The 27,643-nt window shown below is 48.7% G+C and overlaps 1 protein-coding gene across 5 annotated transcripts in view; it reads right to left on the reverse strand.

Moving 5' to 3' along the window:
- Nucleotides 1–27,643, reverse strand: part of SMG5 (SMG5 nonsense mediated mRNA decay factor) — a 42,293-nt gene that overhangs the window by 3,364 nt on the left and 11,286 nt on the right. For 3 of the 5 annotated variants that reach the window (NM_001323617.2, NM_015327.3, NM_001323616.2), the window contains 17 exons: nt 26,349–26,447; nt 25,338–25,461; nt 24,498–24,654; nt 22,010–22,099; nt 20,774–20,863; nt 19,733–19,811; nt 15,703–15,828; nt 15,528–15,596; nt 14,883–15,091; nt 13,954–14,091; nt 13,194–13,793; nt 10,808–10,983; nt 8,746–8,821; nt 7,864–8,039; nt 6,418–6,576; nt 862–921; nt 332–491 (listed from right to left, as the gene is read on the reverse strand). In NM_001323617.2, the coding sequence (NP_001310546.1) occupies nt 332–491; nt 862–921; nt 6,418–6,576; nt 7,864–8,039; nt 8,746–8,821; nt 10,808–10,983; nt 13,194–13,793; nt 13,954–14,091; nt 14,883–15,091; nt 15,528–15,596; nt 15,703–15,828; nt 19,733–19,811; nt 20,774–20,863; nt 22,010–22,099; nt 24,498–24,654; nt 25,338–25,436 (2,464 nt within the window). In that variant the 5' untranslated portion in view covers nt 25,437–25,461; nt 26,349–26,447. The remainder of the gene's footprint in view (nt 1–331; nt 492–861; nt 922–6,417; nt 6,577–7,863; nt 8,040–8,745; nt 8,822–10,807; nt 10,984–13,193; nt 13,794–13,953; nt 14,092–14,882; nt 15,092–15,527; nt 15,597–15,702; nt 15,829–19,732; nt 19,812–20,773; nt 20,864–22,009; nt 22,100–24,497; nt 24,655–25,337; nt 25,462–26,348; nt 26,448–27,643) is intronic. The other 2 variants (NM_001323615.2, NM_001323614.2) reach the window with 2 other exon arrangements.

Raw genomic sequence — 27,643 nt, forward strand, 5'->3', positions numbered from 1 at the left:
CTCAGTACACTCTTCAGGCAGAGAAGGGACCCTGGCTCCCTAGAGGGCTCCCAAAGTTCTCTGAAAACATGACCTTCTGCCAGCAATATACTTGGCAATTTACCAAGTGCTTTCTCATTATATTCACTTACATTTTCTGTTTCTCCCAACTGTCTTGTAAGGCAGAATAGGGATTATGTCCATTTCACAGATGAAGTGACGGGTTCACAAAGGTAGTAAGACTTGACCAAGGTTACTGCATATAAACTGGGCCCCAAATAAGGTCTCTTAATCCCAAGCCCAGAATCTCTTTTAGTCATACTCTGTCTCCTTACCTCTCCAATGTACTTACCTGTCCTTGGGATGATGACAATGAAGCGGCCACTGGTGGCCAGTTGGCGGATGACAGGGAGATGGTGGCAGAGGGCCTGGGTGTCAGGGACGAGGTAGGGAGACATGGCTGACTGGGCCTTGGGCTGCTGCAGGCTGCCCTCCAGCTGAGACACTTCGAGCTGGTGAGAGAGGGCAAGGTGGGTACAGCTGTGGGGGACCCCTGCAGCCGGGCCGGGGGAAGAGTGGTGCTCAAGGTGGCTCTATGGGGCTCCTCCTGTTGTTAAGGGGATCAGAGGACCCTCTCTACCAATGGCTTTGGGGGAAAAGTAAACAGAAATAAGAGTTAAAGAGGGAGAGACAGAAATGAAGGCAGAAAGGAGGCAAATGGCTGAGTGAAGAGTGAGTAGTAAGGAGGGTCATCTGGGAGAGGCGGAGGGACACAGAGGCAACAGAGCAGGGGGACTACAGCGGAAGGGGGAGACCTGCCAGTAGGGTTGACACAAAAGCTCTACCAAGTGCAGAAGAAGCACTTGGGTCCTGATTTCCTACCTGAAGTCGTAGCTGAGCCATGTCTCTCATGAGCCTGTTCCGACGAGCTTCCTCCTGTGCCTATGAGGGAAAAAATGAGCTGTAAGGAGTTGGGGTGTATTTTCCCTTCTCCAGTGATCAGGAAGACCAAGAGGGTTTCCTGGGGTCTCAGTGTGACCTCATGCAAAGTCACTCTCTAGCACTGCTGCTGAATGAGGGGAGGAGAGGCATGGAAGAAAAAATATTCTTCCACTGCACTCTGAACAACTTCCATTACCAACCCGATGCAGGTCATGATGTTCCAGGCCCTGCAGGGGAGGGGAAGCAGACAGCCATGTGCCGTCACCATGCAGGACATCACCTGGCTGTGCCTCAGGATTCAATCTCTGCTCTTCTCAATCTGGTCTCCCTTCCCAGGAGATCCTACCCATGCACTTCCTCACCTTCTACCCCCATCCACTTGCCAAAATCTTCCAAATCTGCAGATTCAGCCCAGGCCTGACCATCCTGAGCTCCAGACCCACACATACAACTGCCTACTCAGCAGCCCCATCTGCTCCTCAGAACCTGCGTCTCTTCCTCTAGTGTTCCCTAGCCTAGTAAATAAACCAGTCTGCCCAAGTCAGAAAGCTCAGGGTTGGCTTTGAATCTTCCCTTTCTCTCAGCCCCAGAAGTTATCAGGTTCCCTGTCCTGTCAATTGTGCCCCCCTAAACAGCATGCAAATCCTTCCACCTCCACTGTGAAACCCTAGTCTAAGCCAACACCTCTCCTTGACTACTGTAACAACCACCGTACTGGTCTCTGCCTCTAATTCAATCCCTCTTCTCCACCTACAACCAAGGCAATCTTTTAAAAACCATCTGATGCCCATTATAGCCCTGCTTAAAAGTTTTCTGATGCCTTTCCTCTGTATTATGGGTAAAGCCCAAATTCCTTAGTATGGTCTATAAGATGAGGCTAAGGATGGGGACTTTATCCTGTAAGATATGGGGAGCCACTGAAGACTCTTTTTATTATGTTTTTCTTTTCTTTTGAGACAGGGTCTCACTATGTCACTCAGGCTGGAGTGCAGTGCCACAATTCCTGTTCACTGCTACCTCTGCCTCCCGGGCTCAAATGATCCTCCTGCCTCAGCCCCCCAACTAGCTGGGACTACAGGCACATGCCACCATGCCTGGCTAATTTTGGTATTTTTTGTAGAGACTGGGTTTCACCATATTGCCCAGGCTGGTCTCAAACTCCTGAGGCTCAAGCAATCTGCCCGCCTTGGCCTCCCAAAGTGCTGGGATTACTGGTGCGAGCCACAGCGCCCAGCCCACTGAAGACTCTTTGATGACCAAAGTGGCATCATCAAAGTGGTGCTTTAAAATATTAATCTTGGCCAGGCACGGTGGCTCACACCTGTAATCCCAGCACTTTGGGAGGCTAAGGCAGGCGGATCACCTAAGGTCAGGAGTTCGAGAGCAGCCTGGCCAACATGGCAAAACCCCATCTCTACTAAAAATAAAAAAATTAGCTGGGTGTGGTCACGGGCACCTATAATCCCAGCTACTTGGGAGGCTGAGGCAGGGAAAACTGCTTGAACCTGGACAGCAAAGGTTGCAGTGAGCCGAGATAGAGCCACTGTACTACAGCCTGGGTGACAGAGCAAGACTCCGTCTCAAAATAAATAAACAAAATAAAATAAAATAAAATAAAATATTAATCTTGGGGCCAGGCACAGTGGTTCACGCCTGTAATCCCAGCATTTTGGGAGACCGAGGTCAGGAGTTCGAGACCAGCCTGGCCAACATGGTGAAACCCTGCCTCTACTAAAAATACAAAAACTGGGGCCAGACACAGTGGCTCATGCCTGTAATCCCAGCACTTTGGGAGGCTGAGGCGGGTAGATCACGAGGTCAGGAGTTCGAGACCAGCCTGAGCAACATGGTGAAACCCCGTCTCTACTAAAAATATAAAAATTAGCCAGTCGTGGTGGCGAGCACCTGTAATCCCAGCTACTCGGGAGGCTGAGGCAGGAGAATCGCTTGAACCCGGGAGGCAGAGATTGTGGTGAGCCAAGATCACACCATTGCACTCCAGTCTGCACAACAAGAGCAAAACTCCGTCTCAAAGAAAATGAATAAATAAATATACAAAAATAAAAATAAAAATTAAATAAAATATTAATCTTGGGGCCAGGCACAGTAGCTCATGCCTGTAATCCCAGCAATATGGGAGGCCGAGGCAGGAGGACTGCTTGAGTTCTGGAGTTTGGGACCAGCCTCAGCAACATAGCAAGATCACATTTCTACAAAAAAAAGTATATTTTTTTTATTTTAAAAATCAGTCAAGCTTGGTGATGCATGCCTGTAGTCCTAGCTACTCAGGAGGCCGAGGCAGGACAATTGCTTGAGGCCAGGAGTTCAAGGCTGCAGTGAGCTATGGTCATGCCACTGCACTTCAGCCTGGGTCAACAGAGCAAGACCCTGTCTCAAAAAAAGAAAAAAAATTCTCATTCTCATCATGAGACCACATCACACAAACCCAAATTGAGGGACACTATGAAATAACTGACCAGTACTCTTCGAAAGTGTCACATCAGGAAAGAAAAGGAAAAACTGAGAACTGTCAGAGATTGCATGAGACTAAGGATACATGACAGTCAAACATACTGTGGGTCCTGGACTGGATTACAAAGAGAAAACAGACATTAGTGGGAAGACTAGGGAAAGAGGAATAACATCTATAGTTGCAAGATCCACTCCCACCCCCCTGCAGAGTCCTGCACAACAAAGAATTGTCCTGCCCAAGGTGCCAAGAGTGTCCCCTTGAGAAACAATGTAAACAAATGAAAGAATGGAAGCAGAAGGCCAGAGCCTAGGTGAGAGCCATCTTCTCTCTTTTTTTTTTTTTTTTTTTTTTTTGAGGCAGGGTTTCACTGTCACCCAGGTTGGAGGGCAGCGGCAAGATCTTGGCTCACTGCAGCCTCAACCTAACAGCCATTTTCTCACAGGCCCTGTGGGCAAACTGGTAAGCAAGGGAGGCACCATAGACAAACTTTCCCTCTTCCCACTGCAGAAATCAAGCCAATGAGTTGCTTTTAGACTAAAATGGTAATTGTGAAACTCCATATTCAAGAGAGGGGGATGGGGGCACTTGTGTAAAAGCTCCCCCAGAGAACTAGTGTAGGTGAGTGAGATCCGCCTGGACCCAAGAAGATGGAGCTGTGCTAATATGAGGCTCTGACATTACCAACCCAGCATTTCAAACAGATGTAGGCCTACGCGTTCCTCAGAGGGAAAGCCTACCTTCAGAAGTCCCATCAGCAGGTACTACACCCCCCGCAACTCCTAGTGCCCACTTGGCCTACAGAGAAGCTAAGTCTCTAAAGCAGCAGAAAAGAGCCAGGATAAGAAATCCATAGTGTGTCCAACTCCAGAGCCCTGGCTCTACCACCGACTATACTTTCTGATCTTGGGAATGTTCCTTTGTCTTTCTACATTTTCTTTTCTTTTCCTTTTTTTTTTTTTTTTCCAGACAGAGTCTCGCTCTGTCGCTGAGGCTGGAGTGCAGTGGCACGATCTTGACTCACTGCAACATCTGCCTCCCAGGTTCAAGTGATTATTCTGCCTTAGCCTCCCAAGTAGCTGGGACTACAGGCACCTGCCACCATGCCCGGCTATTTTTTGTATTTTTAGTAGAGACGAGGTTTCACCATGTTGGCCAGGCTGGTCTCGAACTCCTGACTTCAAGTGATCCGCCCGCCTTGGCCTCCCAAAGTGCTGAGATTATAGGCGTGAGCCACAGAGCCCAGCCTACTGTTTCTTATCTATAAAATGGAGGATGCAAGCACCTACCTCACTGGGCTGCTGCAAGGGTTAATTGAGATGTCACATGCAAACCAGGCTGTGCACAGAGAAAACTCTTGATAAATGTGATAACGACAACACTCCTCTGGGCTGGGGATAAGCCCTTCGGGGTGGAAGCCTGTGACTCAAGCAGAGGAGGCAGCCCCAGCAAGCAACGTGGCCTGTGTCTATCTTGGCATGTGGAGTCTAGCACCACATGAGAAGGGCTTGCAGGTACTCCCTACCCCCCGACAGGAAGAGTGTCTTCAAGAGCTTTAGGCTAGAGGAAATGCCTGCAAAAACTCCTAACATTTTTTGAAGCTAACTTCCCCATAATTATTTTTGTAACCCCCTCCCCATGTCTTCCCCTATGGACTAGCAATAAAAGCCTTAACAAAGGTTTGTTTTTAACAAAATGTGCTTGTTTTTCAGACAGTAAGGAAGGGAGTTTCTGGGGAGCTTTTGCCCCTTTCCAGCCAAGCAGAATGCCCACAAGAAATGGCACTCAGACAGGGTGTGGAAGCTACTGGCCCTGGGACAGGTGCAAAGGAAGAATGTGGAGGAGGGGATTGGCTTGAGATGAAGAAGAAACCCTGAGGGGTTGCTGAGACACATCATACTTCCTGTGCCAGACACTAACACCCCAATGTTCTGGTGCCACTTAGCTCAGGGTGGTGTGTTGGGAAACATGCCCAAGGCTGTGCAGGCCCCACTGTGAAAACCAGATTGTTGCCCACAAGAGAAAGGACTGTCTTGTTCACTGCTATAACCCCAGTGCCTAGAATACTGTCATGTCTGGCACAAAATGGACTCTCGATAAATATTCGTGGAATGAATTACTGGATGGAAAAGAGGTACCACAGGCCACTTTCCATCCTTTGGGGCCCCTGTGGGATGGGACCATGTCTGGGATGGGAAGGTTCCTTCATGGCCCCTTATATCAGGAGCCCTCCGCTCCCTTCTATTCCTCAGTCTTTATCCCTCTTGAATGAAAGGGAACAGAGGGAGCATTTGCTAGGCACACACATGTGCCATAAGACAATGTGCAAGGCACCTCACACCCACTATCATTCCATCTTCAAAAAACTCCATAAAGTGGATTCTGTTTGTTCCCACATAACTGACAAGGAAACTGGCGTGGTGAGGTTAAGTGACTTGCTCAATTCATAGATTAAAAGGTGACAGAGATGGCCTCAACCCCAGGTCAGTCTGGGTACAGGTCTTGAGCTAGGCAGCCTCTGCTCAAAGCCCCTTTCAGGCCAGGCGTGGTGGCTCATGCCTGTAATCCCAGTACTTTGGGAGGCCAAGGCAGGTGGATCACAAGGGCAAGAGATCGAGACCATCCTGGCCTACATGGTGAAACCCTGTCTCTACTAAAAATACAAAAATTAGCTGGGCGTGGTGGCGTGCGCCTGTAGTCCCAGCTACTCAGGAGGCTGAGGCAGGAGAATCACTTGAACCTGGGAGCCGGAGGTTGCAGTGAGCTGAGATCACGTCACTTGCTCCAGCCTGGCAACAGAGTGGGACTCCATCTCATAAAAAAAAAAAAAACCCCTCTCAGTCCCTGTCTATCAGTCACATCCCTTAGTCCTTCCCAGGCCTCCCTCCCAGCCTCCCCTCCCCTCTCCCTAGGCATCTTACTATGTCCTTCAGGTGGAGACCACCAGAGGGTCTGAGCCTCTTGCCCTGGTTTCTCAGTGAGCCCAATGGGAGCAGAGCTGACGGGGAGGGGAAGGCCTGACTCACCATTCGGAACTGTGCCTGGGCCTGCTGCAGCAGGCTCTCCTGCTCAGACTGGGCAATGCTGACGAAGATGCCAACCTCTGGGTTGAACTGCAGGATGCTGCCTTGCAGGCGGGCGATGAAATGACCAAAGCTGCGGATGCAGCAGATGCGCACCACTGACTGTGGGGAGATACAGGAGCCCAGCGCTGCTGAGCAGGGCCCTCTAGACCCACCCTGCCCTCCAGGACCCTCCACTCCCACCCTCCCACCTCCCTGCTGGCCCAGCCACCTCAGCCAACAAGGGCTCCAGGGGAAGATTTGTGGTCTATGGGGTGGGAAGGAGAAACACTAAGGCCCAGAGCCTCTAACTGCCAGAAAACGAGTAGGTACAGCAAGAAAACTCCTAGGAGGACCAGAAAACCAGGACTTGGGCTAAGAAACAAGAGCAAAGGACACTGGGCTGGAAGTGAGGAGACCTGGGTTCTAATACCATCTCTCTCCTAATGCTTCTCATATGCTCTAGGGGACCAAACTAGATCACATTTTCCAATGTATTATTTTTTTGAGACAGAATCTCGCTTTGTTACCCAGTCTGGAGTGCAGTGGTGTGATTACAGCTCACTGCAGCCTCTACCTCCTGGGCTGAAGTCATCCTCCTGCCTCGGCCCCCAAGTAGCTGGGACTACAGGTGCGCACCACCATGCCCAGCTAATTTTTGTATTTTTTGATAGAAATGGGGTCCTGCCATATTGCCCAGGCTGTTCTTAAACTCCTGAGCTCAAGCGATCCACCTGCCTTGGCCCCCAACCAAGTGCTGGGATTACAAAGGTGAGCCATTGCACCTGGCCCCAACTTATTTTTGTGGTCAGTAAAACCCTTCTTCCCTCTCAAATAAAAATCTTATCTAGAACTCTAAAATATAAAACAGAGCCAAGCAGCTCTGGTTGGAGGGAGCAGCCAGGTGGTTTATGTATGTCAGGACTGGGTGGCCTGTCTGCTTGACTTCCCTCTGCTGCCCCCAGATGGCCCATGTGGTGATGGAGATTTAAGGGTGAAAGCTGCTGGACTAAGCGGGCAGCACATTCCCTTCCAGCTCTAACTTTCTATGATTGTTTGATGTTCAGCTCGGAGCAGGCTGGGCCCAGAGTTAGAAAAGAGACTGATAAAGATTTCGAAGCCCTAATAACTATTTGTTCTGCCCTTTACAGAAGGCAGAGAAAGGAAGGGGGTGGTTGTTCTACAATAGTAGAAACTACCAATGGCAGACCTTTAGAAGGACTGCCAAGGCAGGAAAAAAGCTAAAATGGCTCACTGAATGAAGAAGGAAGCACAGCCTGTAGCCCCAAGGACACTGTCCCTGTCTGAGTGGAAGAGGGCATCCTGCCCCCTCCCTCCCCAGATCTGAACCCATTTGCTGCTGTTTGTGACTGACAAACAGAGCTGTGGCATAAGAAATGCTATCCTTACCTCCTCTAAGGTGCTGAGCAGGGGCCGATCCGTGTCAAAGTTAAAGCGTCTGTGGGCAGCTCGGAGCGGGGGCAGGTTACGAAGAGCCATGTCCTCTGGGAGCAGAAGGCTAGAGGGGAGGTCAGGCAGTTCACAACCTTCAAGAAGATCTTGGACCTCAGGACACAAGGCCAGGCCTGGGCAGAAGAAGGACACATAAGACCATCTGTCCTGTGGGAACTCCCAGTCAGAGAGACATAACCCTTCCCTTTGGGAATTATCAGGCTGATGAGATGATGAGGCAGGACATACCCTAGGACAGTGCGGAGAGATGGAGGGAGTGAAGTAAAGAGAGATGGACACATAAGAGCCAGTCAGGCAGAGCAGAGGGGCTCAGGAAGAACAAGGATGGCTCAGGTCAGGAAGGCTTCCTGACAGCAGGGACAATTACATTGGGATGGAAATGAGAGGAGGCGCTCAGGATGAATGAATAGCCCTTGGCAAGTCTTAGCAGGTAGGAGCAGGTGGAGTTTTCCAGCTGGAAGGTGGTAGGAGATGAGCCAGACAAACAAACTTGGTAGGTCAAAGTCAATTCTCAATGACCACAGGCATCAGTGCAACAGCAGCAGCTAGGTCTGGCTCCCAGGGCCCTCTCACTCTGCCCTTGCATTCCCTAGGGAGCACACTCCCTTGCTGACCAGGCCACCTGCCCACAATACAGCAGTGTTGTGGTGGGAAACCGGAGAGGCCTAGACCACACAATGACTGCTGTGTGCTAGGGAGGCTGGCAGTGAATCCCATTAACCTCCTTACCCCAAGGGCTGGGTTATGGGGAGGGGAGATGGGCTTAGTGGGGACAATGAGAGAGCAAAGAAAGGAGGGTAGTGCCAGGGACCCACTCACCAGACTCCTGGAGTTCACCAGCAGCAGGCAACAGATTCAGCAACACAGACAGGCGGTTCCACAGACTTTGAGAGCTCTGGGGAGAGAGAAGGGAGAGGAGGCCTTCAGCTAGAGACAGTGGTGGAGAACAGCAGTGAGCAAGGAAAGCACCACCCTGAGGGATCTGGCCTATGTTCAGAGGCCTGTGGGGGTTTGATTTTAAAATTAACAAAAGAAGCCTGGACAACAAGGCAAAACCTTGTCTCTACAAAAAACACAAAAATTAGCTGGGCTGGCTGGGCACGGTGGTTCATGCCTATAATCCCAGCACTTTGGAAGGCCAAGGTAGGCGGATCACCTGAGGTCAGGAGTTGGAGACCAGCTTGGCCAACATGGTGAAACCCCATCCCTACTAAAAATACAAAAAAATTAGCCAGGCATGGTGGCAGGTGCCTATAATCCCAGCTACTCGGGAGGCTGAGGCAGGAGAATCGCTTGAACCCAGGAGGCGGAGGCTGCAGTGAGCTGAGACTGTGCCATTGCACTCCAGCCTGGGCAACAAGAATGAAACTCCTTCTCAAAAAAAAAAAAAAAAAAAAAAATAGCCAGGCGTGGTGGCATGCGCTTGTAGCCCCAGCTACTGGGGAGGCTCAGTTGGGAGGATTGCTTGAGCCCAGGAGGTCGAGGCTGCAGTGGAGCTGAGGTATGCCACTGCACTGCAGCCTGGGCAACAGTGAGACCTTGTTTCAAAACAAAACAAAAAAAGCCACATTCGGACTGGCTCATGCCTGTAATCTCAGCACTTTGGGAGGCTGAGGCAGGCAGATCACTTGAGGTCAAGAGTTCCAGACCAGCCTGGCTGAGCTTTTTCACCAGCTGAATGCTTCATGAAAGAAGAAAGCAGGCCGGGCGCGGTGGCTCACGCCTGTAATCCCAGCACTTTGGGAGGCTGAGGCAGGCGGATCAAGACCATCCTGGCTAACATGGTGAAACGCCGTCTCTACTAAAAATACAAAAAATTAGCTGGGTGTGGTGGCGCCTGTAGTCCCAGCTACTCGGGAGGCTGAGGTGGGAGAATGGTATGAACCTAGGAGGCGGAACTTGCAGTGAGCCGAAATCGTGCCACTGCACTCCAGCCTGGGCGACAGAGCCAGACTCCATCTCAGAAAAAAAAAAAAAAAAAAAAAGGAGAAAGCAGCGAAACCACAAGGACTTTCTGGATCTTGGCAGTGGGAAAAGCCAGGGTGTTAAAGGATGTGGCTTCTCTACGTCTAGCAGTAACCTATCCTTCCAGCCCTCCCATGTGCCCATACTGGAACACCTCTCTAGGGATGTGACCCAGCATCTCCATCTTTACCACACCTCCCTCAATGACTAATGACTGAGTAACTAACTGTCATCAGACATAAGCACACACCCAACGGTGCACCTGGCCCTGACCCAAACCGTCTCATCTGGGGACTGGGGCGACCCACAGGGAAGAAAGTCTTCCACAGCAGGGCAGGTATGCCCCTAGAAGAAAACATTGAATAAATGCCTCTGGGAATTAGAAGTTCAAGGCTGACACTCTGAACCTGAGAAGGAAGGGAAAGCTACCATGGCCCCACCCAGCCTCCATGGCAGCCGGCTTGACAAGAGCTCGGTCCTGTGTGACTCTCCTTAAGCTGTTCCCCCTGCCTAGTACATCTTCACAACTCTTGTCAGAAGTTCCCATCTCTTCTGTCACTATCCTCTACTCAATGTTCTCTCCCTTCTCTGGATTCTTTGGTATTTATCAACTTTGGTCCTTGAACACATACTTCTACCGGCATTACTCATAATGGCAGGCATTATGCCCAGCATTGGGGATACAAAGCAAAATAAGCAGCTCGCTAATTGTTCCCTGGCCACAGGCTTTGTGAGGGCCAAGATCATGCCTAATCCTTCCCTGTCAGAGCATAAGGGCCCAGCACAGATAGGTGATTAATTGCTTGGCAATAATTCTTGCCTTGGCCATCAGGGGGGATCCTCAGGCCCCATCCTGGCTCATCCCCTCCTCCAAGACCCTGGGACCTGACAGGGGCAATGGAGTGGACTGACACACCTGCGCACACACGATGATGAGGTCGGGGTTGGTCCGAAGCCAGTCCAGGAAGACTTTCACAGCAGGAAGCAGACCTTCGGCCATCAGGACCTGAAGCTTCTCCTGGATGCTGCGCTCATTCCGACAGGAGCGTCCACTGGACTCACTCCCCTCCGACTCAGAGCCCTCCTCAGAGGCTGGGGGGTGGGTGAATGGAAGAGAAAAAAACTGGGATAAACAACTGACACTTGGGAACAGGCCTCAGCTCTGTGCAGGGAGCATGCTTCCACCTGGCCTGGGCCCTTCCAAGGAATTTGGATATGAAAAATCTGGGGAACCACTTACAGGCCCTTATTCAATTTTTCCAGGCCCACTAACTGTTGTTGTTTTTTAATCTCATCAAATTCATTTTACCAAGGTTGTTTTTAAAATATGGTGCCTTTTAAATATGATTCTTATAGACTCAAGTAATTTGTGACGTTGATCTACAGCTATTCATTCAACTAGGATTTATGAAATGCCTACTCTGTGCTGGAAGGCAGGGCAGACAGTTAGAGGGGAGCTATAAGGGAGGGAGAAAAGCAAGGGGTATGGTTTTAAAAGAGTTACTTTCAGGCCGGGCGTGGTGGCTCACGCCTGTAATCCCTGCACTTTGGGAGGCTGAGGTGGGCGGATCACAAGGTTAGGAGTTCAAGACCAGCCTGGCCAACATGGTGAAACCCTGTCTCTACTAAAAATACAAAAATTAGCTGGGTGTGGTGGTGCATGCCTGTAATCTCAGCTACTCGGGAGGCTGAGGCAGGAGAATTGCTTGAACCCGGGAGGTGGAGGTTGCAGTGAGCCGAGATTGCACCACTGCACTCCAGCCTGGGCAACAGAGCGAGACTCCGTCTCAAAAAAAAAAAAAAAAAAAAAAAAAAGAGTTACTTTTAATTCCTACCTCTTCTACTTTGCAAGTGAGAACACTGGACAGGTCCCTTCACATCTCTGAGCATCCCTCATTTCTGCCATTCACTCAGTCATTCGATAGTTCTTAAGTCCCATCCATGTGCCAGACACTGTGTTAGGTACTAGGGATACAGCAATAAGTAAGAAATATTCTGTCCTGCCCTCAAGCAGTTCAGACTCTAACTGGGGAGACAGACAAATCAACAGTCAACCTCAATAGAGTGGAAAAGGACTGGAGGCTGCAGAGGTGCAGGAGGCCACAAGAAGCAAATCTAACATACCCTTGAAGGAGTCCCAGACCAAGTGACTTTTAAGCTAAAATCTAGTGGGGGCAAGTAAGAATTAGCTAAGTGACAGGCTGGGAGCAAGGGAGGAAAAGCACTTGCCAGACAGACAAAACACTATGTATAAAAGTTTGGAGGGGCTAGGTGTGGCGGCTCACACCTGTAATCCCAGCACTTTGGGAGGCCAAGGTAGGAAGATCACCTAAGGTCAGGAGTTTGAGACCAGCCTGGCCAACATGGCGAAACCCCGTCTCTACTAAAAATACAAAAATTAGCCGGGCATGGTGGTGCGTGCCTCTAGTCCCAGCTACTTGGGAGGCTGAGGCAGAAGAATCACTTCAACCTGGGAGGCAGAAGCTGCAGTGAGCCGAGATCGTGCCACTGCCCTCCAGCCTGGGCAACAGAGTGAGACTCTGTCTCAAAAAAAAAATACACACACACACACACACACACACACACACACACACAAAAGCCGGGCATGGTAGTGCATGCCTGTCATCCCAGCTACTCAGAAGGCTGAGGTAAGAGAATCGTTTGAGCCTGGGAAGCAGTTGGTTGCAGTGAGCCAAGATGGCGCCACTGCACTCCAGTCTGGGGGATAGGTAAGACCCTGTCTTTAAAAAAAAAAAAAAAACTTTGGAAGTAAAAGACAGCCTAGAGTAGGGATGACAACTCTTCTACCACAAGACTGCTATGAAGGTTAAATAAGACAACACCCTAGAATGATGCATAGAGTAGCCTTAACAAACGGTTGCTGCTACTAAATGGGTACTCTGTTTGCAGGGAATATCCTCAGGAGAGAAGTCTCACTCTAATGCACCTGCGCTGGTGGGTACCAGTTTTTCTAGCTTCCAGAAGCCCTGGAGGGACTTGGGATGGCACAGGGAAGGAAGCTGCAGCTGCAATTGTTGTGTAGGGAGGAAAGCCCCAAACCCACAGGACAGGGTGAAGTGCAAAAGAAATAAAACCAACAAATGGGTTGGGAGATGGGAATAAGGAAGTGAGCAGGAGGGTGGACCCTCAGGAAAAAACTCATGGGCTACACCACAGGCAGAGGGCCAAAGGTAAGGGTAGAGACGAGAGGTCATTCACACAGATAGGAAAGCGGCCTCTCTGGTGAGTGTCTATGGCATGGAGGTGCGGACCAGAACAGGATGATGAAGTGGTCCAAATACCTGGCTCTGAAGGCTTGTCTACATCCCCATTGACGCAAGGCCTGTGGCTGGCCGAGGTATGAGGGTTGGTGGTGGGCTGGAGGAGCAGGTTGCTAAAGGTGGGGGCCAGTCGGAAGCAGCGCTTAGTCTGGAACATCTGGGTGGACATGGCTTGTAGATTGCTGGCAATGCTAGCCTCACTGGGGCCCAGTGGGCCATTGAGGGAATCGGGAGCCTCTGATCTGCCCCGAGGGGGCTCCAGGGTTGGTGACCGTGTCCCCTCCTCTTCCTCCATATCTTCCAAGTCTGATCGGGACTCCTGGCTATTCATTTCCGAGTCTGTTTCAGCATCAAAGGCCGTTCCCCCACCTTCAAGACTCTTGTCAGAGCCACTGTCTGAGCCCTCACTGGCCCGGGCTGAGTCATGGCTTGAGTCCGATTCAAAGCCTTCACTCAGGTCACTGTCATCACCAACTTTGGGTGGGTGGCGGCGACGGCGGAGACAGGAGAGGCGAGAGAACTTACGGCTCTTTCTGCCCTCACCCACTTGGGGTGTTACAGGAGGAGGCTCAGGATCTGGCTCCTCCTCTTTCTCCACAGGTTCCTTGGACTCTGGTTCATCTGCGGAAAGAGGAAGGTCAGGTGGAGCCCGAGGAACAGGTGGAGCCTGGAAGCTGGAATGTGCTCTCCAACACCACTTCCCCCGAGTCTGTGTTCCTTTCCTTCATCCCCATGCCCCACACCAACCTTTCCATAGTGATGACCTCCCCGATTCTCCCACCTGTGCCATCACTCTGGAATGCCGGGACGGGATTCTCGCCCTCTTCCAGCTCAGCCTGCAGCCGTATGTTGACATGATTGACGAGGTGGGAAAAGAGGGCCAGGGTGAAGGCAATGGCTGCACTGTACTGCTTGGATCCTGAAGTCAGGAAAGCCAGGCATTAGGGGCCTAGGGCCCTGATGAGGAGTAGGCACCATCAATTCCAACCACATCTCATCTGTTCTCAACTCTTCCAAGGATCCAACTACTTATCAAAGATTCTTTTTTTTTTTTTTTTAACTTTTTAGAGACAAGAGTCTCACTATGTTGCCCAGGCTGGGTCTTGAACTCCTGGGCTCAATCTGCCCGCCTCGGCCTCCCAAAGTGCTGGGATTACAGGCGTGAGGCACTGTACGTGTCCTATTATCCCTTCCATAATCTAGAATTTACCATCTCACCTTGTACTCCTTCAGATAAGCATATCCTTTTGTCCCATCTCATCCTCCCTGGCTCTGAGGTTCCTCCCCATGCCTCAAGAGCCTTCACATCCAGTCCTATCCCTCCTTACCTCCCAATCTTGCTCTACATACACTTCTGCCAGAAAGGCTTCCAGAATTGCCTAAATGCCTCCAACAGAAGGTCTGAAATTCTGTCTGGATGATCACTAAGTACCCTGACCCTTGTGTCTGCACAGGCCCTGGCCAAGGGTGTGCATATTTATGGGAGGCAGTAAGGAGAAGGGGGAAGGAAATGTGCTGTTGCTTGTACTCAATTACCAGGACCTCCTTTAGGGTAGGATCCCTTGGCCCTTACTTGCCCACAGCCAAGCAGTGACACAGGAGTGAAGAGGCTGCTTGTGGAAGGAAGTTTATGAATAAGGAGCTGCAGAAAAGGGGAGTGAGGATCCCCAAAGCCAGTGGAAGAGAAAAGAGGAACATAGGGAAGGTTACCTGCTCTCTCCAAGCTGTGCACACACATAAGGCAGATGATGACCATTTGAAAGATGAGAAGGTCCGGGAGGAAAGCATATCCACTCTCATACTCCTCCTCATCCTCACTGGCCAGGCTGAGGTTGGGTGAGGAGGGCAGGTAGAAGAGGCAGAGGTTGAAGTCCTCCAGGACTGACTGGCAAAGTGAGGTCAGCTCTGAGTCCACGGAGCTACAGAGGGGCAGGAGTAACAGGGGAGGTCAGTGGTGGGGGCTGGGGAAGGAGAAGAGCAGGGAATACAAGATTCAGAGAAAGGACTATGGGATGCTGCAGGGGAGACCTGAGAGCACACCAGGGAAGGGTAGTGCTGGATTGATCTCCATAGCAACTAAAACAGGGGAAGGGATGTGAGTAGGCTTCCCATTCAGCCATTCCCTCTTCAACATCTCCTAAGCACCCATTCTGTGCCATAGGGAGAGCTGCTGGGAGGAGGATGGGCATAGGACCCTTGGGAGAAACAGTGAGGAATGCCAAGAAAGGATGAATTGGTTACGGATGTTCAAACTGAGGGCAGAACTCGACAGTCCACCCTTGTCAAGGTTCCTTCTGTAAAGCATCATGGCTGGGGCTCACAGGATAGTTCAGGTTCATGCTCTCTTCCACTCACCTGCTTTTGGGCTGTAGGAGGCTTTGCAGATACATAAAGTTCACTAGCAACCTTTTAATGTCTTTACATCTGAAATGAGAAGAGCCCAAAGTAAATGCTGAATGGTCCCGCAGTCCCTATGGTCCTACTGCACCAACTGCAGAAAAAACCCGTCCTCCTCACAGGCCCCACTCACCGCTTTTTGCCAGGAGACAGTTTCCGAGTCTCACACTTCTTCAGTTGGTGGTACATTTTGGCTGCCTTGTCATACAGCCGCTTGAGGTTCCCATAGGCTCCCTCAAAGGACACTTCTGACTGGATGCTGTAAGAGATAGAGGTGAGCTACTGAGTCTTGGCAGGGGGAGGATATGTTACTCTGCTGGGGCTTTAGGAAACAATGTTACTAGTAAATACAGGCTGCTCCCAGCCTCAGCTTCCATGTACATACGCAGGGTAAAAGGCTCATGAGCTATCTTTCCCGATAACACACACACACATAACTTCTAGATTAGTCAGAGGAAAAACGATGTCTTACTCTGCTTTGTATCTAGAAAGGAGAATATCAATCCTACCCTGCTACAAACTTAGTTATTACCATCCCTGAAATACACTATCCTTCATCTATTTTTAAACATAGAATACTTTATAATGGATAGCATTTAACAAGCATTTACTATGTGCAAGAATATTTACATGCACTATTTCAGTTAATCCTCCCAACATGCAAACACAAACATGTACTGAGCACCCACTGTGTCAGGCAATGTACCCTAATATTGTCCACATTCACAGATGAGGACACATAGCCTGTGAGAGAACAAGCACACTGACCAAGGTCACACAGCTAACACATGGTAGAGAAAAGTCCCCAATCCAACTCTTTTTTTTTTTTTTTGAAACTGAGTCTCACTCTATCACCCTGGCTGGAGTGCTGTGGCACAATCTCAGCTCACTGCAACATCCGCCTCCCGGGTTCAAGCGATTCTCGTGCCTGAGTCTCCCAAGTAGCTGGGATTACAGGTGCCTGCCACCACGCCAGCTCATTTTTGTATTTTTAGTAGAGACGGGGTTTCACCATGTTGGCCAGACTGGTCTCAAACTCCTGACCTCAGGTGATTCACCTGCCTCAGCCTCCCAAAGTGCTGGGATTATAGGCACGAGCCACTGCGCCCAGCCCCAGCTCATTTTTTAACTTTTCTTTTGTAGAGATGGGGTCTCACTATGTTGACCAGGCTGGCCTTAAACTCCTGGACTCAAGTGACCCTCAACCTCCCAAAGTCCTGGGATTACAAGTGTGAGACACTATGCCCAGCCCTCAACCCTGTCTTACTAAAAACAAACAAACACACACAGCCAGGTGCAGTGGCTCATCTGTACTGGGATCTGTAAACCCAGCACTTTGGGAGGCTGAGGCGGGCGTATCAAGAGGTCAGGAGTTCGAGATGAGCCTGGCCAACATGGTGAAACCCTGTCTCTACTAAAAATACAAAAAATTAGCCAGGCTGGGTGCAGTGGCTCACACCTGTAATCCCAGCACTTTGGGAGGCCAAGGCAGGTGGATCACGAGGTCAGGAGATCGAGACCATCCTGGCTAACACAGTGAGACCCCGTCTCTACTAAAAATACAAAAAATTAGCCGGGCGTGTTGGCAGGCGCCTGTTGTCCCAGCTACTTGGGAGGCTGAGGCAGAAGAATGGCGTGAATCCAGGAGGCGGAGCTTGCAGCGAGCTGAGATCGCGCCACTGCACTCCAGCCTGTGCGACAGTGCGAGACTCCATCTCAAAAAAAGAAAAAAAATTAGCCAGGCATGGTGGCATGCGCCTTTAATCCCAACTACTCAGGAGGCTGAGGCAGGAGAATCGCCTGAACCCAGGAGGTGGAGGTTGCAGTGAGCCGAGATCGCGCCATTGCACACCAGCCTAGGCGACAGAGCAAGACTCTGTCTCAAACAAACAAACAAACAAAAACCCAATGACCTTAACACTCATGACATTTTGTGTCGTTTCTTAAAAACATGTTTTTAATTATAAAAAGTGAGGTATAAAATAGAAGAAACCAATGTCTGTGGTGAATTAAAGATAGCCACAAATTATCTGACACTCCTTCCACTGAGAAATGTGGTCTATATCTCCTCCCCTTAAATCTTGCAGGGGGCTGCGGGAGGAAGGGCTATGACCAATAGAATATTATAGAAGTAACAGCTTCCAAGTCTCCTAAGTCATTGTTCACTGTTGGAGCCTTGAGCCACTACATAAGAAGTTCTTCTACCCTGTGGAAGATACCACGCATGGTCCTAAGACCACACAGAGGAGAGGGGCCAAATGACCCAACCCTCCAGATATATTAGACCTTCCGATCAGCTGAATACCAATGACTAACCCTAAACAATGCCACTAGGAGAAGGCGGATTGCCCAACTGAGCCCTGCCCAAATGTCTAACCCATAAACCATGAGAGAGAATTGTTTTAGCAGAGTCAGGTATGCCCTTAGTGGGCACCTCCCAAACTTGGATATACCTGGCTCTCTTTTGGAACTGACCCACCCTAAATCATGCTTATGAGTATGATGAGGGACTCAGGACAAGTAAAGGGGGGTCATTCTCAGGAAGGCATTTAAGAAATGGGAAAGATACAGCCGGGCACGGTGGCTCACGCCTGTAATCCCAACACTTTGGGAGGCCAAGGCAGGCGGATCACCTGAGGTCGGGAGTTTGAGACCAGCCTGAGCAACATGGAGAAACCCGGTCTCTACTAAAAATACAAAATTAGCCAGGCGTTGTGGTGCATGTCTGTAATCCTAGCTACTCGAGAGGCTGGGGCAGAAGAATCACTTGAACCCGGGAGGCGGAGGTTGCAGTGAGCCGAGATCATGCCATTGCACTCCAGCCTGGGCAACAAGAGTGAAACTCCATCTCAAAAAAAAAAAAAGAAAAAAGAAATGCGAAAGATACACCAGGTTATAAACCTAGTAACGATACTTAAGAATGAATGAATATATCGGTATAGGTATAGAAGGCCAGCCTGAACTGATCTAGATGAGAGGGACCCTCAACAAGCTAAATTTAATACAGCGACTAGGTTACCTTGGCCAGGTGAACCAAAAGTCATGGCACATGGAATTATGACGTACAATTAGTATTTCATTATTTTATACTTTATTATCTGATTACTTTACTATTTGGATATACTTTAGTAGTTGACCACTTAAGCTATGAAGACCACCCTACTCCTTTTGCTTGAAGCCCAAGCTCATTATATAACTTCTTCTGAGAATGATTTTGGCTTCTCAACTTTAGCACTGATTAGGTGACAAAGGTCAATTTTTCTGTTTTCTGGCAGTTTCTCAGTATAACTTAAAAGCATTCCAGGTAAAGTATTCTGGTTTACCTATCAGTCTCATGTGCTCTTGGTTACAGCGACTTGTATGGCGACTCAATACCCTAAGCTTAATCAATTTTGGGTGCCCTGAAGAGGTTTTTTTTTTTTTTTTTTTTTTTTTGAGATGGAGTCTTGCTCTGTTGCCCAGGCTGGAGTGCAGTGGCATGATCTCGGCTCACTGCAACCTCTGCCTCCTGGGTTCAAGTGATTCTCCTGCGTTCAAGTGATTCTCCTGCCTAAGCCTCCCAAGTAGCTAGGATTAGAGGCGCTCACCACCATACCCAGCTGATTTTTGTATTTTTAGTAGAGATGGGGTTTCACCATGTTGGCCAGGCTGGTCCTGAACTCCGAACCTCAGGTGATCTGCCTGCCTTGGCCTCCCAAAGTGCTAGGATTACAGGTATGAGCTACCAGGCCCTGCCAAAAATGTTGTTTTTTATTCTAACAGCTAAGAGTCAGACCCAGGGAAGCAGTGACCCACCCTGCTGGTCCTTCCACGTATATTACCACATTAACACACTCCAGAATTCTCATGCTCTTGCCAGAAGCCACCTTAGTAACATTTTACCAACTGTATCAAATTTATTTCCTTCTTCAAGAAAACAGCAATCTTGTATTTTGCATAAGACAGTAAATAGCTATTTTAGCTGCCCAAGTGCCTACAGATCCAGCGGTTATGTGAAAAGCAGCAGGGCTGTGTCAGAGTCCCCCTGAATGGAGAGACCCTTCAATCTTAGCATTCCCCTATCTCAGCCACAGCTAGAGGAAGGAGGAAGGGAAGACGGAAAACAAAGCCAAAATAATATGCACACAAAAGCAGGGCTGGAAAAAGAGCTGGCAAATACTCACCAGCGCAGGTAGCAATACATGGCTTCCACATTATAGTACTTGCTGCCTGCCAGGGTGCCCAGCTGATTGAAGGGCATTCCTAGGGAGAAAGAGAATTCATGCAGTCTAAGGCCACAATACTCATTCAAAGCTGCCAGGCCCAACCAATGCTAAGCATCAGAGAACCTGTAGGGAGAACAGCTGGGTCTGCAGGCAACACTGGTTGTCTCAGGTGATTAGCAGCTTAATCTTTTTCCTCTAGAGGATTACTGACCTCTTCTTTTTTTTTTTGGAGATGGAGTCTCGCTCTGTCGCCCAGGCTGGAGTGCAGTGGTGTGATCTCGGCTCACTGCAAGCTCCGCCTCCCAGGTTCACGCCATTCTCCTGCCTCAGCCTCTCCCAGTAGCTGGGACTACCACAGGCACCCACCACCATGCCCGGCTAATTTTTTGTATTTTTAGTAGAGACGAGGTTTCACCGTGGTCTCAATCTCCTGACGTCGTGATCTGCCCGCCTCAGCCTCCCAAAGTGCTGGGATTACAAACGTTGAGCCACCGCGCCCGGCCTACTGACCTCTTCTTATATCCATCAGCTTGTTCCCACCTGGTGTGACAGGCGTTACCTGAATTGATGGAGTACCATTCCTCTGGCTTCCAATATGGCTCCTCCAAGGTTGATGGAACTCCATGGAGCCCTCTCCTCTATCTCAGCACTGAATGCTTGTTCCTACATGCAAATCCCCATCTCTCTCTATAATAGTCTTATGCTTTATCTCATTGTGCTTCTCTTTCTACAAGAGACCTCAGGGAGAGGAAAGCCATCTTCTCTTTTCCTTCTACTCTGCCTCACTCCTTAGTTCAAGACCTTCCCATTTATCTTCCCCTTCCACCATTTTCTGAGTGTGTTACAAGAGGGAAAAGGTATAAACAAGGTGAAGTACGAGAGAGCTGAGAATGAAGAGGAGCTGGGGAAAATGAGTATGAACTGCCTGCCATCTCAACAACATCGTCTTCCCTAGGAAAACCCTACTGGATTCAGAGGCCCAAGTTGGGGACAACTTACCAATCTGAGGAGCTACTGACAGGGCTTGGTAGTAAAATCTCTCGGCTAGCAGCTCGGTATCTACGCCAGCTAATTCATTCTGATATCGGGCTGCACAAGAGAGAAAACGAAGGGAAACTCGATGATTTTAAGTTTCAGAAAACCCTCCCCCACATCTGGGAGTCCACTCTGAGAGTGGTAACAAGAGCCTGGAAGGAAGGTACCTGAGCTAGGAAGCAGGTTGCTGGGGTCTCTGGCACAGTCCTAAATCTGCATGACTATGGGCAAATTGTTCAACTCTCTTCCTTGCTGGTAGGTTCAAAATGTAAAGAATATTGTTTGTGAAGTAAATAAGCTCTTCTTTTTTTGTTTTGTTTTCTTTTTTTTTTTTTTTTTTTTTAGAGACGGGGTCTTGCTGTCACCCAGGCTGGTCTCCAACTCCTGGGTTCAAATGATCCTCCTGCCTCAGCCTCCCAAGTAGCTGGGACTACAGATGCGTGCCACCACGCCCAGCCTGAATAGGCTCTTCTTGGTAATCTCTTCCCAATGAAGGGGAGCTGCAGCACACATAAATGCTTGCAAAGACCTCTGATATTTAGTTCTGAAATGCAAATGCTCAATTTCACAGAGAAGACACTACTAATGATACTCTGGTTCATCAAATATCAAACAGCTGACTCTCTGCACACACTGCTCATGAGGGGTCCAGGAGTGGGCTGGGGGCAAGGATAGTAGACCCAGGTCAGTAAGACATAATGCACCCAACAGCCACACACCAGCAGCCTAATGAGAAACCACTGTCTATCAGGACGAGAGGCCCCAGGGGCTATAAAGCAAAAGAGTACTTTTCCATCCTTAGAAACATCTGTTAGGAAGGTAAGTCCTCCTTGATGTCTAATTTCAATCCCTGTGCTGAAGTTTCTATTCATCTAGCAGTCCATAAAGATAAAAGAAACACTCAAAGAAGAAAAATATCAAATTAAAATCTTCCCAACCCACTACTGAAAGAGAATTATTATCTTCATTTGCTCAAAGCTCAAAGAAATTTCCCTTTTTCCTGTATTCACTGATCCTCTCTGACTCATGGAAGGGCAGTGAAAAGAAGGGATCACTGAAACAGATGGGAGGGAAAAAGTTATCAGAAGCCAAACTATCCCTCCTGCTCTCCAACCATGTAATGGGTGTTACCAACAACTGAAGCAGCCTGGGCTCGTCCTGTAACCCAAAACAGAGAAAATGAAAGGTGCAAATTCTTACACAAATCCCCCAGATACACCAGACATCGGTGACATGCCATCTGTGCCCAATCCATCTCCTTCCCTGAGGCAGACACTGGCTTCTTGCATCCTATGAGACAAAGAGAAAGAGATTTGTAGGCCCATTCTTCTGCCTTCCCGCACCTATGAAGAAATACCCCTCCGAGATGTAGAGACTAAGAATCCAGGGCCAGTCTTGGAACATTGTCTTTCAGGGCAGAGACACACTCATCCAGGACACAGGGAGAGACACAGAGGATCACAGGTGGCCATACGCAGGGACTCAGAGACTTATAGGCAGATTCATTCATAGGACAGGAAGGAACTGGAAAAGGAGGGCTAGGGCCCTCAACCTAGGATGGCACCTTGCGGGAAGGTCATCACAGGAAGGCTTCCAAAAAGGAGGAAGGGATGAGCTTCAAGTATGAATAGGGTCATGAATGTCTTGGGTAGAAGTTACACACATAAAGGTGAAAGGTTTGAGGTAAATATGGGAAACTAATTTGCCCAAGAATGAAATGTGAATGACGCCAATTAAAAAAAAAAAAAAAAAAAGCAAAAACAACGACAACAACAAAATTTAAAAAAGAAAAAAAGAAAGACATGTGAATGAGGCTAAGGCAGATGCTCCTAGTGGAGGTCCACAGAGAAGGCAGCCTACTGGAGAGTCTGCCCATGAAGGAGAAAAGTGGGCTTGCCCTGCCTGAGGCTGCTGATGGCCAAAGTCAAATATGCCTGAGCACTCACCTCTCCCTTCCCAAGAAACTGCCTGGTAACTTCAGAGAGCTTGAGATCTTTGGAAGGCAGTTTTCTCATGTGCCAGAAACTTGTCTAAGCATTCTACAGTATTAACTTAATTCTCACAGCAACCCTATGAGGTTACTCTTATTACTCCCATTTTACAGTTGAGGAAATTAGTCACACAGCTGCTAAGCAGCAGAGTTAGGATACAAAAGGCTCCAGAGACTGTCCTCTTATCCATTCCACCTTACTGCCTCACTCAGATGGGTTGCTTCCATTTGGAAAAGCCAGTCCTAATGTTTTATAGACACTTCTCAGTTGGCTGAATGGAGAAAACATCAGTGAACATAAAAACTAAAGTGGTTTGGGGCACTAACCCTTTGAAGTGATCTTTTTTTTAAAGCTGTGGACCCCTCTAGCTATCTGGTAACCTATGGACATGGTCCCAGAATAATCTTGTCTTTTAGATAATGTGGTGGTTTTTTTTTTTTTTTGGAGAGAAGGTCTTGCTGTATTGCCCCGGCTGGAGTTCCAGCGATGAAATCATGGCTCACTGCAGCCTCGAACTCCTGGGCTTCAGCGATCCTCCTGCCTCAGCCTTCCATGTAGCTAGGACAACATGCACGCACCACCATGCCCAGTTAAATTATTTTTTGTAGAGATGATGTAGGATCTCACTATGTTGCCCAGGCTGGTCCTGAATTCCTGGCCTTAAGCAATCCTCCCGCCTTGGCCTCCCAAAGTGCTGAGATTACAGGCATGAGCCACCACGCCTGGTCTAGAGGTTTGGCTTTTTTTTTTTTTTTTTGAGACAGAGTCTCACTCTGTTACCCAGGCTGGAGTGCAGTGGCGTGATCTTGGCTCACTGCAACCTCCACCTGCCGGGTTCAGGCGATTCTCTTGCCTCAGCCTCCTGAGTAGCTGGGATTATAGGTGCACGCCACCATGCCCAGCTAATTTTTATATTTTTAATAGAGATGGAGTTTCACCATGTTGGCTAGGCTGGTCTCAAACTCCTGACCTCAGGTGATCCACCTGCCTCGGCCTCTCAAAGTGCTGGGATTACAGGCATGAGCCACCGTGCCCGGTCTAGATGTTTTTAAATGCATAAAACACAGGTGCTCTGCTTCTGATCACAGAATTCCTCCATGTGGTGACAAGGACACAACCTCCATCTCTGACCCAGAATGTCTGTCTTGGTGATGAAGGGGACAGAGAGAGCAGAGAGAGCTGGGTGAAGGAGCTCTAAAGGATGGCTGAACTGAAGAGAAAACTTACCAACTAGAAAAGGAATTAAAATTATAGCTGCCAGTACCTCAGCTGGTGGAAAAGGAACTTGTACTATGTTGAAAGACTGTCCACAATTTTCCCAACATATCTAAAGATTTCAAAACTTTCATCAAACATTGGGAAATAATCTCTAAAGTCAAAAGAAACAGTGCTGGCCAAATTCAACTGGGAGAAGAAAAGAAATGTATTAATACCACCTTCCAGTGCCAGACCTACTCTAGGTCTTTCTGTCCCTCCTCTGCCTTAGTCCACAATCCCAGGCCTCTCTCTTTCCTTAAGATCTTTACCCTAACTCATATGATTGTCTGGATAAATCCAAACTTCATAAACCATTTGTATGTAGTTCTGCTAGAACTCTCTCTGCCTGGCTGGGTCGCAAGCTACATGAACCCTGAGGGATAAGGCCAGAGGTAGAAGCATGAGAACCTGCTCAAGTCCACCTTTCAGGTTCCACTGACCTATGAGGGGGTCAGTGACATGGGTCCAGTCGATGCAGCACTGCAGTTCCAGCTGGTAGTGGGACTGGATATAGAGAAGGAGATGCTGGTAGAAGCCAATACCAGCAACCAGGTGCGTCCTGTAGGCACATTCCAAAGTGCTCCGGCTGTGGATGTGCTACAGATTGCGAAAGGGAAGGGGCTGGTTAAGCAATAAACTCAGAGTCGCACTCACCCTCCCTTACCCTGTTCATCTCACTTGGCTCTGGAACTTCATCTACATCTACTCTCACTCACAAGTTACTGTCATACTCTTAGCTCTAACTCTCTGATCTTTCCATCTGGGACCAGGCTCCCCTCCTTCTCTAATCCTAATTACATCTGACTCTCTTCCTCCTTCCCTAATCCTAATTACATCTGACTCTCTTCCTCCTTCCTTTCTGCTGTCTTTTTTTTTTTTTTTTTTGAGATGGAGTTTCATTCTTGTTGCCCTGGCTGGAGTACAATGGCGCGATCTCAGCTCATCGCAACCTCTGCCTCCTGGATTCAAGTGATTCTCCTGCCTCAGCCTCCCGAGTAGCTGGGATTACAGGCATGCACCACCACGTCCAGCTAATTTTGTATTTCTAGTAGAGATGGGGTTTCTCCATGTTGGTCAGGCTGGTCTCGAACTCCCAACCTCAGGAGATCTGCCTGCCTCAGCCTCCCAAAGTGCTGGGATTACACGCATGAGCCACCGTGCCCAGCCTCTTACTGCCATGTTTTCTTGGCTCCCCTACCTCCAACCATGTTCTGCGCCCACTTTCCTAGCTGTCTCTTCCTTCCTTGGCTTTCCCTCTTTAGACAAGGACTTCCCCTTACCTTTTTGTTAGTCTTGATAAGCTGGATAACTTCATAGTATACCTTTCTCCACAGCAGCTCCTCAGCCTTTCTCCCATAGTCCACTGGGTGCAGGAACATAAGCTTGACGCAGAGCTCACGCAGCCTGGAGGGTGTAGAGGAGCATGAGAGAGACAGCCCATCCCTTGGAGCAGGGACATAAGAACTGAGGGCAAGGAGTCATGTGCCAACACCCCCACCAACAAATCTCGGTGCTTCCCAAGAGACATGCAGGGTCAATATGACCCAGCACAACAGCAGCCTAGGAAGGCAGTGGGAGCCCCAAAAGACAGAAGCACGAAGCACTAAACATTCTAAGTTTTTCCTCATTTTTTCCCTTTGTACACTTCGCTCTCTTTTTCTCTGCTTTTTTATCCCATTTTTCCCTTCATTATGCAGTATGGCCGACTCCCTTGACTCAAATATATTTTTGGGTTTTTTTTTTTTTTTGAGACAGGGTCTCACTCACTCTGTGGCAGTGGCGGGATCATAGCACCATAAACTTGAACCTCTGGGCTCAAATGATCCTCCCACCTCAGCCTAACTACAGGTGTGCGGGATTACAGGTGTGCAGCACCATACTCAACTGATTTTTTAATTTTTTTGTGGAGACTGGGTCTTGTTATGTTGCCAGGTCTGGTCTCAAACTCCTGGGCTCAAGTGTTCCTCCTGCCTTGGTCTCCCAAGGTGCTGGGATTACAAACGTGAGCCACTGTGCCCTGCCTCGAATGCCATTCTTTTTATTTTATTTTACTCTACTTTTTAGATGTAGAGACTGTGCTACTTTATGGCACCAGTCTATTAGATGTAAAATCTGCAGATGGAGTGAGGGATCCTATCTCCTCTCTTAGGAAGGCCAGAGATTTCAGAGACCATTAAGGTACCATGAGGTCAGGAGGTAAAACAGAGTGCGTGTTTATATATCTGAGAAGGTTTCTGGTAGAGATAGGCAGGGAAACAGTAAGGATCTGTGGTTTAGAGTCTCTAGCTTACTTGTTCCTCAGGCTAATGTTTTCTGGTTTGAATACTTCTTGATAAGCAGTTTTGTTGCAAAGGATGAGGTCAAGTCGATGCACAGCCTCCACCACAGCCCTGTAGGGAAATACAGGCAAATATCCCCTCAGCCATATGCATGGTCCACAGAGGATGACGCTGGGACACGATTCTAGAGGAAAAGCTACAGAATTAGCGGTGAGGGAAAAAGGAGAAGGCTGCAGGCTGAGCTCTGTACAAAACAAGATGAACACAGTCTCCATCTTGTTACAGTAACCCCTGCCCCTCCCCACCCCCCGCCCACCAGGGGACATTTGGCAATGGTAGAAACATTTATTGTCATCACAACTGGGTGGAAAGAGGGTTGCCACTGGCATTTAGTGGGTGCTGTTAAATCTCCTGTAATACACAGGACAGTCCACCACAATAAAGCATTACCCTACCCAAAATGTCAACAGTGTCAAAGTAGAGAAACTGTGATATGGTAAGGCCGACTCTCCCAATGGAAAGAGCACACGCTGTGATGCCAGGCAGAAAATCTAGGGTTTGAACCCTGGCTGTGTCTTACTCTGTGCCTTTGGGCAAATTACCCACCCTTTTAAAGCCTTAGTTACCACATCAATAAAAACGAAGATAATAATAGCTACTTCAGAGAACTGTTGTGAGGATTAAATGAAATAATAATTTATATATAGCTCTGGTATATGGTAAACATTCAATAATGGTGGAATGAATAAATTATTACATAAGGCCTTATTATCCCTGACATAAAGGAAAGACACTTCTAGTATAAAATTCTACTATGGAATTGTGGGGTATGATGGGGAAGTAGAGGGAGCTCCTGGGCTGCTTAGCCGTAAGCAAGATTCTGATAAGCCTAGATTCTGCTGAAGGAATTATTTGTTGAACATAGTGGTTAAGAGTGTAGGCATGAAACCAGACCGCCTGGATTCAAATCTTAGCTCTACTTCTTACCAGCTATGTGGTCCTGGGCAAAATACCTAACTTCCTTACGTCTCACTTCACCCAACCATAAAATGGGAATATTATTACCTACTTTGTGAGGATTAAATTAGCTAATACATAAAGCACCCATAACAGTGACTGGTATATAGTAATCACTCCAAGTGTTAGTCTCCATCCTTCTTGTTCTAAGGCTGAGGGGGAGACTCCAGGCACTAAGAGGTAAGTCTGTCATCACAGCAAAGAAAAAGCCACAGAAACTCTACAATGGACGGCCAAGAAGTCCCAGAGGTAGGTCTCATATCTGGAAGGGTAAAACCCAGAGGACATCA

The sequence above is a fragment of the Homo sapiens genome, chromosome 1 (genome assembly GCF_000001405.40).
Source record: "Homo sapiens chromosome 1, GRCh38.p14 Primary Assembly".
Taxonomy (NCBI): domain Eukaryota; kingdom Metazoa; phylum Chordata; class Mammalia; order Primates; family Hominidae; genus Homo; species Homo sapiens.